The sequence below is a fragment of the Homo sapiens genome, chromosome X (genome assembly GCF_000001405.40).
Source record: "Homo sapiens chromosome X, GRCh38.p14 Primary Assembly".
NCBI lineage: Eukaryota > Metazoa > Chordata > Mammalia > Primates > Hominidae > Homo > Homo sapiens.
The window spans coordinates 84,786,471-84,803,060 of NC_000023.11; positions in this window are offsets into that span (position 1 = coordinate 84,786,471).

The window sequence follows — 16,590 nt, forward strand, 5'->3', positions numbered from 1 at the left end:
TTTGGCTGTACAGAAGCTTTTCAGTTTAATTAGGTCTCATTTATTTATTTTTGTTTTGGTAACATTTGCTTTTGGGGTCTTAGTAATAAATTCTTTGCTTAGACCAATTTTCAGAAGAGTTTTTCCTAGGTATTCTTTTAGAATTTTTATGGTGTCAGGTCTTAGATTTAAGTCTTTGATCCATCTTGAGTTGATTTTTATTGATGGTGAAAGACAGGGATCCAGTTTTGCTTTTCTACATGTGGCTCTCCAGTTTTCTCAGCACCATTTATTAAACAGGTTTTCCTATCCTCAATGTATGTTTTCATATGCTTTGTTGAAGATTAGTTGGTTTTAAGTATTTGGCTTATTTCTGGGTCCTCTATTTTATTCCATTGGATTATGTGCCTACCTTTTACCAGTACCATACTGCTTTGGTAATTATAGTCTTGTAGTATAACTTGAAGTCTGGCAATGTGATGTCTCCAGATTGGTTCTTTTTGTTTAGCATTGCTTTAAATATTCAGGCTCTTTTTTGGTTCCATATGAATTTTAGGGTTTTTTTTTTCCTAATTCTGTTAAAATAATGTTGGTATTTTGATGGGAATTACATTGAATCTGTAGATTTCTTTGTGCATTATGGTCTTTTGCACAATATTGATTCTCCTAATTAATGAGCATGGGATGTGTTTCTATTTGTTTGTGTCATCTATGATTTCTTCAGCAGTGTTTTGAGTTCTTCTTATAGGGATTTTTCACCACCTTGGTTAAGTATATTCCTAGGTATTTTTTAATTTGCAGCTGTTTTAAAAGGTATTGAGTTCTTAATTTGATTCTCAGCCTGGTTGTTGTTGGTGTATAGCAGTGCTATTGATTTGTGTACATTAATTTTGTAACCTGAGCCTTTATAGAATTCACTTCTTAAATCCAAGAGTCTTTTGGTGTGGTCTTTAGGATTTTCTAGCTATATGATAATATCATCTGCAAACAGCAATAGTTTGAATTCCTCTTTTCTGATTTTGATGTACTTTATTTCTTTGTCTTGCCTGATTGCTCTTGCCAAGACTTCCAGTACTATGTTGAATAGAAATGGTGAAAGTGGGCATACGTATCTTGTTGCAGTTCTCAGGGGAAATGCTTTCAACTTTTCCCTATTCAGTATGCTGCTGGCTGTGAGTTTGTCATTGATGGCTTTTATTATTTTAAGGTAGGTCCCTTCTATGTCTAGTTTGTTGAGGATTTTTCTCATAAAGGGATGCTGGATTTTATAAAATGCTGTTGGATTTAGTTAGCAAGTATTTTGTTGAGGATTTTTGCATCTACATTAATCAGAGATATTAGCATGTAGTTTTCTTTTTTCACTATGTCCTTTCCTTGTTTTGGTATCAGGGTGGTACTGGCTTCATAGAATGATTCAAGGATTCCCTCTATCTCAATCTTTTGTTATAGTTTCAGTAGGAATGGTACTAATTTATCTTTGAGTGTCTGGTAAAATTCAGCTGTGAATTCCTCTGGCCCTTGGCTTATTTTTCGGTTGGCAATTCTTTATTACTGACTTTATGTCATTGCTTGTGATTAGTCTGTTCAAGGTCTCTATTTCTTCCTATTTTAATCTAGGAGGGTTGTATGTTTCCCAGAATTGATCTATTTCCTCTAAGTTTTCTGGCTTGTGTGCAGAGAAGTGCTCATAATAGTCTCAAATGATCTTTTGAATTTCTGTGGTGTCAGTTGTAATGTCTCCAGTTTTCATTCCTAATTGAGATTGTTTGAATCTTCTCTCTTTGTTTCTTGGTTAATCTAGCTAATGGTCTATCAATTTTGTTTAACTTTTCAAAGAACCAGATTTTTGTTTTATTGATCTTTTGTATTATTTCTTTTCTGTTTCAATTTTATTTAAGATCTGGTCTGATCTTTTTTATTTCTTTTCTTCTGCTAGCTTTGGGTTCAGTTAGTTCTTGTATCTCTATTTTTTTGAGGTATGAGGTTATCAATTTGTGATCTTTCAGACTTTTTGGTGTATGTATTTTGTGCTATAAACTTTCCTCTTAGTACTGCTTCTGCTGTATCACAGAAGTTTTGATAAAAATTACCTGTGAATAAACCAGTTTTAAAATAAAACATCCATAGTGCATTCCTTCTTAATAGAAGCCAGAGTAGGATATGCACTTCAACTTGGAGTGACTATTCTTACTTCTTGTTTTACTAAGCCAGTGTAGAACATTGGTTAAAATCAAATATAAACTCGGGAATCAGACTAGTAGAGTCTGAATTCCTGTTTCATCAATTAACACTCTGTGACCTTGGGCAAGTGACTTCACTATTCTGTTCTTATTTTATTTATCTGTAAAATGAGGGTAGTAGTAGTATCTACTTCAAAGAAGTACTGTGAGGATTAAATGCGTTGATTTGTGTAAAGTATTTAGCATATTAACAGGTTCATAGTAACCAGTCAATACATATTATCTAGTCTTTATTCTTCATCTTTTTCTCCCTTAACCTCAAGACAGCTGAGAGGAATATATCCCTACCCTTCTTACACTTGTAATAATATACAAGGTTAACCAAAACAAATTATTTTTTGAAGTTCATCTTTGAGAAATTTCTGTTTCCAGTCCTGATGGAGTAACTGCTATCAGATTAGCCTTACCACTGTAGACAATTACAAAACTGAACAACACAGATGAAACAATTATTTTTGATCAGTATGCAACAAATAATGCATGACCATGATCCCTGAGAGCAAGGAAAGTTGCAAGTTGAACCCATGACTACCTAGCTCTCTGCCGGGGAAAGTTTCCTCACAGCAGCACAGAGATCTGTAGGCCATGTAGTACACAATAGTCACAATGAGATAAGATGGTAGAGGTCAGAGTTTGGGAAGCTGAAGTGGGTGGAATCTGTGAGGATAAGCATGGACCAAGAGCAGAGCTTTGCATAAAAGGGGCCCCAGGCTCTGTATGGGAGGTCTCCCACAAGATCGTGGTTGTTTGGGAGGTCTCCCACAAGATCGTGGTTGAAGGTTGAGCCATACGTGTGCAGGGTGAGACCACATCAGGCTTGCCAGACTACTCAGAAGTCAAAGACTTTAAGGTAAATGTTATAAGTAGGTTAAAAGAATTAAAGAAAAATATGTGAACAGACAATGAAGATCAACAAAGAAATGAGAACTATTAAAATAAACCCAGTTGAAATACTAGAATTTGGAAACCACAGTAACTAGCATGAAAGATTGATTGGCAGCGGGGCTTAAAAGCAGACTGGAGATGGCATAGGAGTCAATGAACATAAAAAGAGATTTTAAAAAGTACTCAACTTGAGAAACAGAGGAAAAAAGAATTTAAAAAAATGAAAAGAGTTTTGGGTATCTGTGCCACAATATAATGATATAAAATATTTCTCCTCAGAGTTCCGGTAAAAAAAGAATAATACTGGGGTAGGAAAAAAAAATTTTTTTCAAATAGATAAAAATGTCTCAAATCTGATAAAAGCAGAATGGGAACTTACAAAATCTTGAAAGGCTACCAAACTTCGAGCAATATAAATGTAAAGAAAACCACACCTAGGCACATGATAGTCGAACTGATGAAAAGCACAGATAAAGAGAAAAATTTGAAAAGCATCAGAGGCAAAAGATGCATGATATTCAGCAGGAGATGGTAAATCTTTTAGGCTTTGGGGCCACATATGGTCTCCTCTGTGGCATACTCCTTGCTTTTTAAAATAACTTTAAAAGTATAAAACCCATTTTAGCTCATAAGGCACACAAAAAAGTCCACAGGTCATAGTTTGCAAACCACTGACATACATAAAGATTATACTATAAGAATTATCACTGACTTCTTATCAGAAAGAAAGGATACCTGAAGGTATAGGATTGACATCTTTACTGAAAGAAAAAAGATACTCTCAATCTAGAACTCAATATCTACTAAAATATCTTTCTGAAATAAAGGTAGGGGAGGACAATGTGACTGACTAGGTGCAACCAGGTGAAAAAGCTGCCACCAAGGGGCTGAGAAGACTGGTGCTTTTCTTAGAAATCTTCAGATAGAAGGTACCGAGAGTGGAGAGAGGGAAGACACAGAAGCTGGGCTGAAGTGGGAGGAAGCTGGAAACCCCACACCGGGCTACTGTACACCAGGACTAATTCCTGGTCCCTAGTAACTCCAGAGGAATGGGTGAGTTGAACTGGCAAGGAACAACCTGCTCTCATCACAGGCCTCTAGATTCCCAACAGAAGAAAACCCCATGACCACCATCTTAAGTTGGCAGGAAGAGCTGCTTAGAGAAGTGGTAGGGGCAGGATGCCAGAGGAAGCAGAGCCCAGGGGGTTTGGTGCAGGAGCATGTGTAATGAAGCACAGCTGGAGAAGACCATCTCCCTAGGCTCAACTTGTGCCCACAGCAGACTTTAGCCCTAGGGGAACTGTCAGACCTGAACTCCGCAGGGCAGTCTTATTCACCAGATAGGGCAGGTTTAACCTGAGCACCCCTTGGTCTGCTGGCCTCTCTTGGGGACCCAGCCTGGTTGCGCCTGCTTTCAGGGCAGCTTCAGGTGCCCTGGAGGCCCATAGCATAGCTCCTGCACTGGCAGAATGTGCCTGACTGCTGGACACTTCCAGCAGGGTGTCCTCCATAGCCTTGCAACAGGCCACCCACTCCTTCCCCTCACTGCAGCTTCCCCTGGGACCATGGCACCACCCTACACTGTTTTGCTAGCATGTGTGTGCACAGGTGGGTTTTTCCTTACTTGCCCCACCAGCACATCTGTGTGCATGCACTCTGCCCTACTACTGTTGTGGCAAGAGTGTACTCAACCTCCCATTACCTCGCCAGACTGCCACTGCAGTCAGAGCCTTGGCAGGCATAGAACCAGCCAGCCCATTCCTGACAGCACCTTGCCCTTGCACCAACACTGCTGCAGGAGTAAAACTAGACACAGAGAACAGCAAACACTCTTCTGTGGTGAGTGTCCACCCTTACCCGTGGCGCACAGAGAATGCACACAGACCTGCTCCTGCCAGCGCCCTGTCCCCATGATAACACCACCACCAGCATGACAATGCACATAGTCACCAGCAAAGGCCCCTTCCCCACCCCCAAAGCCATGCTGTCCCTGCCCCTGAGGTGAATGATCACAGGGAGGCAGGTACCCCAACACCTGCTAGCAACTTGCTGCAGATGAAGAGTGTGCACCCCACTGCACTGCTCTTGCCACTGCTGCTGACAAAAGCAAATGAGGCACTGCCTCCTCACTATGAAAACCTTTAGCTGATATCACCCATCAGAGTGTAGTAGCGAGCAGTCGGGAGCACTTCAGCCCCCATAATGTAGAATATTCCTATCCTCGAGAATCCAGAGAACAAAGTTGAGGTCTGATATAAGTCCCCCAGAGTTAGAACATGCAGTCCAGGAGTCGGGAGCTGAGCGTTGGCCCCTTAAAACCTTCCAGAAATGAATCCAGTTAGCTGAATTCACTTTATTTCACTATCAAACACTCTAAGTCATGACAAAGGACAAAAAGAAAAAAAAAAACTATCCAAAGGTAAGCAACATAAAAGATTGAAGAAACATCAGCCCAAAAAGATGAGAAAGAACCAATGCAAGAACTCTGGCAACTCAAAAATGCAGAGTGCCTTCTCTTCTCCAAAAGACCACACCACTTCCACAGCAGGGATTCTGAACCAGGCTGAGGTTGCTGAAATGACAGAAATATAATTCAGAATATGGATGGGAACAAAGATCATTGAGATGTAAGAGTATGTTGAAACCCAATCCAAGGAAGATAACAATCACAATAAAATTATACAGGAGCTGACACAAAATAGCCAGTAGAGAAAAGAATGTAACTGACTTCATAGGGCTGAAAAACACACTACAGGAATGTGATAATGCAATCACAAGTATTAATAGCAGAATAGACCAAGCTGAGGAAAGAATCTCAGAGGTTAAAGACTGGCTTCCTAAAATAAGACAGGCAGACAAGAATAAAATATAGAAAAAAAGGGATGAATAAAACCTCTGAGAAATATAGGATTATGTAAAGAGACCAAACCTATGACTCAGTGGTGTCCCTGAAAAAGATGGGGAGAATGGAAGCAACTTGGAAAACATAATTTAGGATATAATTCATGAGAATTTCCCCAATCTAGTTAGAGAGGCCAACATTCAATTCAGGAAATACAGATCCTTTTCAGACAAGCAAATGCTGAGGGAATTCATCACCACCACACCTGCCTTGCAAGAGCTCCTGAAGGAAGCACTAAATATGGAAAGGAAAGACCATTACCAGCCACTACCAAAACACACTGAAGTATATAGACCAGTGACACTATGAGGCAACCACATAAACAACTCTGCAAAATAACCAGCTAGCATCATGATGACAGGATCAAATTTACACATAACCATACTAACCTTGAATGTAATGGGCTATGTACCCAAATTAAAAGTCAAAGATTGGCAAGCTGCATAAAGAACCAAGACACATTGGGATACTGTCTTCAAGAGACCTATCTCACATGCAATGACACACATAGGCTCAAAATAAAGGGTTGGAGGAAAATCTACCGGGCAAGTGGAAAACAAAAAAAAAGCAGAGGTTGCAATTCTAATTTGAGACAAAACAGACTTTAAACCAACAAAGATAAAAAAAAAAAAGACAAAGAGGGGCACTACATAATGGTAAAGGGTTCAAGTCAACAAGAAGACCTAACTATCCTAATTATATATGCACCCAACACAGGAGCACACAGATTAATAAAGCAAGTTCTTAGAGACCTTCAAAGAGACTTAGACTCTCATAAAATAATAGGGGGAGACTTCAACACCACACAGAGAATATTAGACAGATTACCGGGGGAGAAAATTAACAAAGATATTCAGGTCCTGAAGTTAGCACTGGATCAAATTGACCTGATAGACATGTACAGAACTCTCCACCCCAAAAGCAATAGAATATACATTTTTCTCACCAACACGTGACACATACTCTAAAATCAACCACGTAATTGGACAAAAAACACTCCTCAGCAAATACAAAAGTACTAAAATCATAAGAAATGCTCTCTCAGACGACAGCACAATCCAATTAGAAATCAAGACTAAGAAATTTGCTCAAAACCATAAAATTACATGGAAAATCAATTACCTGCTCCTGAATGATTTTGAGTAAATAATGAAAGTAAGGCAGAAATCAAAAAGTTCTTTGAAACTAAGGAGAACAAAGATAGAACATACCAGAAACTCTGGAACATATCTAAGGCAGTATTAAGAGGGAAATGTATAGCACTAAATTTCCACATCAAAACATTAGAACAGTCACAATTTAACAAACTAGCATCACAATTAAAATAACTAGAGAACCAAAAGCAAATAAATGCCAAAGTTAGTAGAAAAAAGAAAATAATGAAAATCAGAGCTGAACTGAAGGAAATTGAGGCACAAGAAGACACCCTTGATCAATGATTTCAGAAGTTGTTTTTTGAAAAAAGTAATAGAATAGATATACCACTAGCTAGACTAAAAAAAAAGAAAATATAAAAGTTTCAAAGAAACATAATTAGAAACACTAAAGGGGATATTACCACTGACCCCAAAGACATAAAAATAATCCTCAGAGAATATTATGAACACCTCCATAGACATAAACTAGAAAATCTAGAATAAATGGATAAACTCCTGGACACATACAACCTCCCAAGACTGAGCCAGGAAGAAATTGAATTCCTGATCAGACCAATAAAAAGCTTTGAAATTGAATCAGTAATAAATAGCCTACCAACAACAACAACAACAAAAACCCAGCACCTGATGGATTCACAGCCAAATTCCACCAGATGTACAAAGAAGAGCTGGTACCATTTCTACTAAAACTATTCCCAAAAATTGAGAAGGAGGAACTCCTCCCTAACTCATTCTAAGAGGGAAGCATCATCCTGATACCAAAACCTGGCAGAGGCACAACAAAAAAAGAAAACATCAGGCCAATATCATTGATGAACATAATTGTAAAAGTCCTCAACAAAACACTGGCAAACTAAATCCAGCCACACATCAAAAAACTAATCCACTGTGATCAAGCAGGCTTTATTTCTGGGATGCAAGTTTGGTTCAACATACACAAATCAATAAATATAATTGATCACATAAACAGAACCAAAGTGAAAAACCACATGATTATCTCAGTAGATGCAGAATAGGCTTTAGATAAAATTTAACACCTCTTTATGTTAAGAGCTTTGAATGAAGTAGGTCTTGAATATACCTCCAAATAATAAGATCCATGTATGGCAAACCCAAAGCCAACATCATACTGAAGGGGAAAAAGCTGGAAGCATTGCCATTGAAAACCAGCACAAGACAAGAATGCCCTTTCTCACCACTCCTATTCAACATAGTATTAGACATCCTGGCCAGGGAAATCAGGCAAAAAAAAGAAATAAATTTCATTCAAATAGGAATATAAGAAGTCAAACAATCTTTGCAGAAATCATGATTCTATGTGTCAGTTCAAAAGCTCCTTAAGCTTATAAACAACTTCAGCAAAGTCTCAGGATACAAAATTGATGTATAAAAATAACTAGCATTTCTATAGACCAACAGTAGTCAAGCCGAGAGCCATATCAGGAACACAGCCCCAATCACAATTTCCACAAAAAAATAAAACACCTAGGTATACAGTTGACTAGGGAAGTGAAAGATCTCCACAAGGAGTACTACAAAACACTTCTCAAATAAATCAGAGATCACAAAAAATTTGAAAACCATTCCAGGCTACTGTGTAGGAAATATCATTATCATTAAAATGGCCATACTACCCAAAGCAATTTGTAGATTCTATGCTATTCCTATCAAACTACCAAGGACATTCTTCACAGAAATAGAATAAACTATTTTAAAACTCATATGAAACCAAAAAAGAGCCTGAATAGCCAAGGCATTCCTAAGCAAAAACAACAAAGCTGGAGGCATCATGCTACCTGACTTCAAACTATACTACAAGGCTACAGTAACCCAAACAGTATGGTACAAAAATAAATGCATAGACCAAGGGAACAGAATAGTCAGCCCAGAAATAAGTCTGCACAGCTACAATTGTCTAATTTTCGACAAACCTGACAAGAACAAGCAGTGGGGAAAGGATTCCCTACTGAATAAATGGTACTGGGATAACTGGCTAGCCATATGCCGAAGATTGAAACTGGACCCCTTTCTTGTACCATATACAAAAATCAATTCAAGATGGATTAAAGACTTAATTGTAAAACCCAAAACCATGAAAACCCTGGAAGACAACCTAGGCAATACCATTCTGGATATAGGAATGGGTCAAGATTTCATGGCAAAGAGGCCAAAACCAATGACAACAAATGCAAAAATTGACAAATGGAACCTAATCAAACTAAAGAGCTTCTGCACAGCAAAAGAAACTATCAACAGAGTAGACCAACAACCTACAAAATGGGAGAAAATGTTTGCAAATTATGCATTCAATGAAGGTTCAATATCCAGCATCTATAAGGAACTTAAATTTACATGAAGAAAACAAACAACCCTATTAGTATGTGGGTAAAGAACATGAACAGACACTTTACAAAAGAAGACTTACATGTGTTTGAAAACATGAAAAAAAGCTCAGCATCACTGATCATTAGAGAAATGTGAATCAGAACCACAGTGAGATATCATCTCACATCAGTCAAAATGGCTATTACTTAAAAGTCAAAAAATAACAGATGCTGGCGAGATTGTGGAGAAAAAGGAATGCTTATACACTGTTGGTGGGAGTGTAAATTAGTTCAACCATTTTGGAAGACAATGTGGCAATTCCTCAAAGACCTAAACAGAGCAATACTATTTGACCTAGCGATCCCATTACTGGATATATACCGAAAAGAATATAAGTCATTTTATCATAATAATACATGTAATAGTATGTTTACTGCAGCACTATTCACAATAGCAAAGACATGGAATCAACCTAAATGAGGATCAGTGGTAGAATGGTTAAAGAAAATGTGTGCATATACACCATGGAATACTATACAGTCAGGAAAAAGAACAAGGTAATGTTCTTTGCAGCAACATGGATGGAAGTGGAGGCCATTATCCTTAGCAAACTAGCACAGTAACAGAAAACCAAATACTGCATGTTCTCACTTATAAGTGGGAGCTAAGTGATGAGAAGACATGGACACACAGAGGGAAACACTTGGGCCTTGCACACTGGGGCCTACTTGAGTTTGAAGGGTGAGAGGAGGGAGGGGATCAGGAAAAATAACTAATAGGTAATAGGCTTAATACCTGGGTGACAAAATAATCTGTACAACAAATTCCCATGACACGAGTTTACCTATATAACAAACCTGCAACTGTACACTGAACTTAAATTAAAAGTTAAAAAAGAAATAAAGTTGAAACGAGCTTTATATTTATATTTGCTAGTATCCCTTCCTTTGAGTTTTTCAATGCTCAAGCTTCACACTCTTCCCTCCTGTTTAGACATTCCACTGAAACTCCACATATGGGTACTAAATATCATTTTGCTGTGCTCTATCTGTTCTAGTCTCTCACATGAAACATCTCATCAGGGTTTCCCCACTCCATTAATATATCTTGTTCTATGTATTCTGTTCATCTTCAAAATTACTCTACGTCCCATTTTCTCCGAATCTTGCTTTATTCTATAGAATCCATGCTAACGTTTTAATGGGGTTTTGCTGGCTACCATTAATTTAATACAACCTAACATTTGAGAAAAATAACAATTTTTATTGTTTTATTACTTTGTGGCTCTTCAGAGAATTCTCTTTCTTTCATGGTCAGCTGATGTTGGTACAATAAAATCATGACTGTGATTTTTGCTGATCCCACGTATTTACAGGCATGTAAAGAAATCTATTATCTTCACAGTTAAGCAAGCATTCTGTTAATTACTCTGTAACTAAGTAGTTGGTCAGCTTTTTACATCAGGCAGTTGAAAGCATAATGAAGCATATTCTTCATGTGGCTAATGTGACCTTTTCAGTAAACATACTGCTTAAATGCCTGCTTCTCAGGTAATATTTTCAAAGATGTTTGCCAAGTGTGATGTTTCTGCAGTGGATATTTAAATTTATATTTTATAAATGGATCTCTTTAAAATACCATTAAAAGGTAGCAGGTTTTTCTCTTTGCTAGCACTCTTGCTCTTTTTAGCTATGAATGCTTTTCCCTAACTTTTACAAGAAAAAGAAAGAGAAGCAGAAAAACAAAAGTCTCAAAAATTCCCTCTTCTTAGGCTAATTCTTGTGCTCTACACACTTTTCTTTTTCCTGTAAGCAATGGATATCATCAAATTTCACAAAATCACTGGATTTTCTTAATTCAAAAAAATATATATGTAAATATACAAAAGTGTTAGATTCTAGAAGTTCATAAAATGACATTTAATAATTTATTTCCAGTCTCTAAACCTGTCAACTAGGGCTTAAATATTATTTATCTGACCCAGATAATTGGGTATACATGCAAAAAGTCTTTATTCTTTGATTAGATGTGCAATGAGGGTAAGTTGTAACTGTTTATATTTGTTCATTTATGTTTTGTCTCGTTCTCTTCCTGTCTCCTCCCTTCCCCTCTCCTTTCCCTTTGTTACTGCCTCTCTCCACACACTTCTATTTTTTCTGAATCTTTTGAAAGAAAATTGCAGACATCATCCCTGGATATTTCAGAATATATTTTCTCAGTCCCAGGGCATTCTTCTACATAACCACAATAATAGTTATCAATCTAAAGTGATAAAATTTTCAAATATATGGTCTATTTTCAACTTTTCACTTTTTCCCAAAAATGTCCTCCATAACTGTCGTGTTTAAATATATGATCCAATAATATAACATTTGTTTGCCATGTCTCTAGACTCCTTTAATACGGAACAATCCCTCTTATTTTGCCTTTTCTAACATTGACCTTTTTCAAGATTACAAGCCATTTGCCTTGTGAGCTATCTCATAGTCTGTGGTAATCTGATTGTTCTCTCATGAATGGAGGAGGCTAAAGATTTTTTGCAGGAATAATACATAGGTAGTGGTGTGCATTCCCCATTGCATCATGTTAACTTGTTCTGTTATTAGTTTTATCACCTTGGTTAAGGGATATCCACTAGAGCTCTCCATTGTAAAGGCACATTTTCTTCTTGGTAATTAGTAAGTAATCTGTGGAGTGATAGATACTTCACCCAATTGCTTTGGCATCCAGTGATTATTTTTGTCTGAATCAATATTACATTGGAAATCATAAAATGGTGATTTTATAATTTGTTTCTTTTTTAACTTTTATTTGCTAGCTGGCATTTTTTGGTAAGAAAGAGATTTCCCTTTGTCCCCTCCTTTTTATATGACTAAAGACTCATGGACTCATATTTTACTAAGTGTGTTAAAGGTTATTACTGCCATTTTTTTATGTTCCAATTGTTTCCAATTTGGTTAATGGGTTGCTCTTCAAACTAGTTTTTATATCCTTTTGATATGCCCCAAAAGTCTTTCAGCACTTCCTTGTTTTTTGATGCAATAAGATGTTCCAGGATCGCTTTGTTCTTTTTCTATCCCAGACTTGGAATTAGCCACTGTCCCAAAGAATCTTAGCTCTTTTTAGTGTGGAATGGTATTTAGAAACCAAAACATAGTCAATATGTGTGCTCATTGCTACAGCAGTGTTATTGCTTATAAGCTCTTTTCAGTAGACAAATCTAAAAAATATGTGTGTGTGTATGTGTGTTTAAATCATAGGTTCACACTGATAGCTCTATTTCAAATATCATAGGGCCCTTCCTCATTTCCTCTATATCGTATTTGTTTCTTCATCTACCTACTATAAAATCCCAATTTACAAAATTATCAACATATTTATTCATATAATTCACACAAAATTGTATAGCCTACAATAAACACAAAATAGTTTTAGAATTACTATACGAATAGTGCAACTAAAAATGAATCAGTTGAGAAAAATACAATATGTCTTGTAGTCCTGTTTGTCTTTAAGATATATGTCAAACTAAGGAGGCAAGCTTAGAATAATCAAAAGTTACATCAATTACTTCTGTAAGGTTATGTTATTAATTTGATATACAACTAGGCTCATTTGTTTCCATTTGTAGTCAGTTTTAGGGCTTTCTTTTTCAATATTTATTTTTATTTTTGAAAAGTATAAGCTACGTGCATAGTTCAAAAATCAAAGTTATATTAAAAAAGATTTAGTCAAAGAATCTCAATTTCATCCCTATCACCTGCATTTCATTACCACTCATCCACTGGAGGTATCCATTCTTTCAATTTCTGGTTTTGCTTTCCTCAGTTTCTCTTTTGCAAAATAAGGAAATATACACATTCTATAAGAAGCTGTATATTGCACAGGGTTCTTTATTTTTTATTGATATATAATAGTTGTACATATTTTGGTGATACATGTGATATTTTGATAACTGTATAAAATCAATGTAATTGGGATATCTATAACCTCCAACATATATCTTTCTTTGTGTTGGGAACATTACAGTTCTTTTATTCTGGCTATTTTGAAATATAAAATAAACTATTGTTAATTATAATTTCCCTACTGTACTACTGAATACTAGAACTTATGCCTACTATTTTCCTGTATTTTTGTACCCCTTAGCCAACTTCTCTTTATTCCTCCCGCCTCCTTCCTTTATTGGCCCCTGGTAATCAGTATTCTATTCTCTACCTCCATGAGATCCACATTTTTAGGTACTGTATATGAGTGACAACGTGCAATATTTGTCTTTTGACGTTTGGCTTATTTCACTTAACATAATGACCTGAAGTTCCATCCATGTTGCTGCAAATGACAGAATTTCATTCTTTTTTATTGCTGCATAATGTGAATGAGAACATGCAATATTTGTCTTTCTGTGCCCAGCTAATTTCATTTATCATAATAACCTCCAGTTTGATTCAAATAATAGGAATTCATTATTTTTATGCCTAAAAAATATTCCATTGTGTATATATGCCACATTATCTTTATTCATTCCTCCATTGATGAATACTAGGTTAATTCTGTATCTTGGCTATTCTGAATAGTGCTACCTTAAACAAGGGAGTGCAGATATCTCTTCAATATATTTATTTCCTTTATTTTGAATATATACTCAGCAGTAGGATTGCTGGATCAAATGATATTTTTAATTTTAATTTTTGGAGGAACCACCATACTGTTTTTCGTAGTGGTTGTACTAATTTACATTCCCACCAGCAGTGTAAAAGTGTTCCCTTTTCTCTGCATCCTTGACAGCATTTGTTATTTTTTTCATCTTTTTTGGTAATAACCATTCTAACAAGGAAAAGAGGATATCTCATTGTGGTTTTGTTTTGCATTTCCCTGATGATTAGTGATTTTGCACATTGTTTCATGTACTTGGCCATTTGAATGCCTTCTTTTGAGATATGTCTATTCAGATATCATGGTTATTTTTAAATCAGATTGTATTTTTGCTGTTGTTTGAGTTCCTCATGTATTCTATGTATTAATTATCAGATTAATAGTTTGCAAATATTTATTCTATTCTACTAGTTGTCTCCCCACTCTATTTTTCCATTGCTGTGCAAAAGCTTTTTAGCTTGATATAATCTCATTTGTTTAATTTTGCCTTTGATGCCTCTGCTTCTAAGGTCTTATCCAAAAAATCTTTGCCCAGACCAATGTCCTGTAGTATTTCTCCAATGTTTTATCTTAGTAATTTTATAGCTTCAGGTCTTACATTTAAGTCTTTAATCCATTTTTGAGTTGATTTTTATATGGTGAAAAATGAAGATATAGTTTATTTCTTCTGCATATGGTTATCCAGCTTTCCCAGCATGATTTTTTAGAGACACTCTTTTCCTATGTGTATGTTCTTGGCACCTTTTTGAAAACGAGTTGGCTATAAGGGGATAAATTTATTTCTGGGTGTTCTGTTCTGTTCCATTGGTCACTGTGCCTGTTTTTATGCCAGTATCATGCTGTTTTGGTTGGTGCAGATTTGTAGTATAATTGGAAATTAGTGATGTAGTTTGGATATTTGTACTCACCCAAATCTCATGTTGAATTGTAATCCCTAGTGGTGGAGGTGAGGCCTGGTGGGAAGTGTTTGGACCATAGGGGTGGATCCCTCAAGGCGTGGTGCTGTCTTCGTGATAGAGTTCTCATGAGATTTAGTCATTTAAAAGTGTGGTGTGACACCTCTCCCTCACACTCTCTCTTTCTTGCTCCTGCTTTGTGGTGTGATGTGCAAGCTCTCACTTCACCTTCCCCCATGAGTAAAAGCTTCCTGAGGCCTCACCAAAAGCTATGTTTTGTGTATAACCTGCAGAACCATGAGTCAAGTAAATCTGTTTTCTCTATAAATTACCCAGTCTCCAGTATTTATAACAACGCAAGAACAGCCTAATACTATCAGGTAGTGAGAGGCCTCCAGCTTTGTTCTTTTTTTTCCTCATTATTGCTTTAGCTTTTTGGGGTCTTTTATGATACCATACAAATTTTAGGCTTGTATTTTCTATTTCTGTGAAGGATGTGATTGGTATTTTGATAGGAATTATGTTAAATCTGTTGATCGCTTTGGGTAGTATCATCATTTTAACAATATTCTTAATATTCTCAATATTATAACAATAACTTATATCTACTAGTTTTAAACATTTTAATATTCCAATGGCTAATCATTTGTTATTTTCTGTTTTTCTTTCAACAGTTTCTTGAAAACTACAATGGTACTTTGAGAGCTGAGTGGGTATCTCTGGAAGGGCCTATGAGAGAAACAATTAGAAAGTCTTCTAAGTGACTTGTCTGGGGATCAGCAGAGGGACCTGCTTGGGGACTAGAAAGTGGACTTCCTATGGGAAACATAGGGGTCCATGCTGTGAGTCCTGCAAGAGGGCATGCTGAGAGACATGCTAGGGAATACATGTGAAGTCATACAAGGAGACTTATTGTGAGGCCTGGAGGGAGACATGCTCTGAGTCCTATAAAGAGGGCATGCTGAGAGACATGCAAGAGGATATGCCATGAGTCCTACAAGAGGACTTGCTGTGAGTCCTGAAAAAGGCCATTCTGTGAGTCGTTCAAAGAAACCTGTGGTAAATCCTGCAAGATGACATGCTAAGAGACTTGTTATGGTGTTTGCTGTGAGTCCTACAAAGAAATGTGCTGAGCGTCCTACCAGAGAATATGCTGAGACAAGCAAAGCAATGAATTGTGAGATCTTCAAAGAGACGTCCTGTGAGTTCTGCACAGATATTTGTTCTGGGATGGGCAAGAACTACTGTGAGTCCCACAAGGAGACCTCTTATGATGCCTGAAAGGGAACTTGTTCTGGGAGTTGCAATGGGACTTACCATAAAACCAACAGAAGCATATGCTGGGGAAACTTCAAGATCTGCAAAACAGTTAACTCAGTAAGTTTTGTACATTTGCCTTTTCATATAACAGGTCTAATGTGTATTATAATTTTAAAATAAGATTGCAATTTTCACATGCCCACACTTGTCACCAAGTGTGAATCTAAAGACCTTATGTAGGCATTGTGTTAAAGAATTTTAGAGAAAGGATCTTATATCTTGTGATTTTA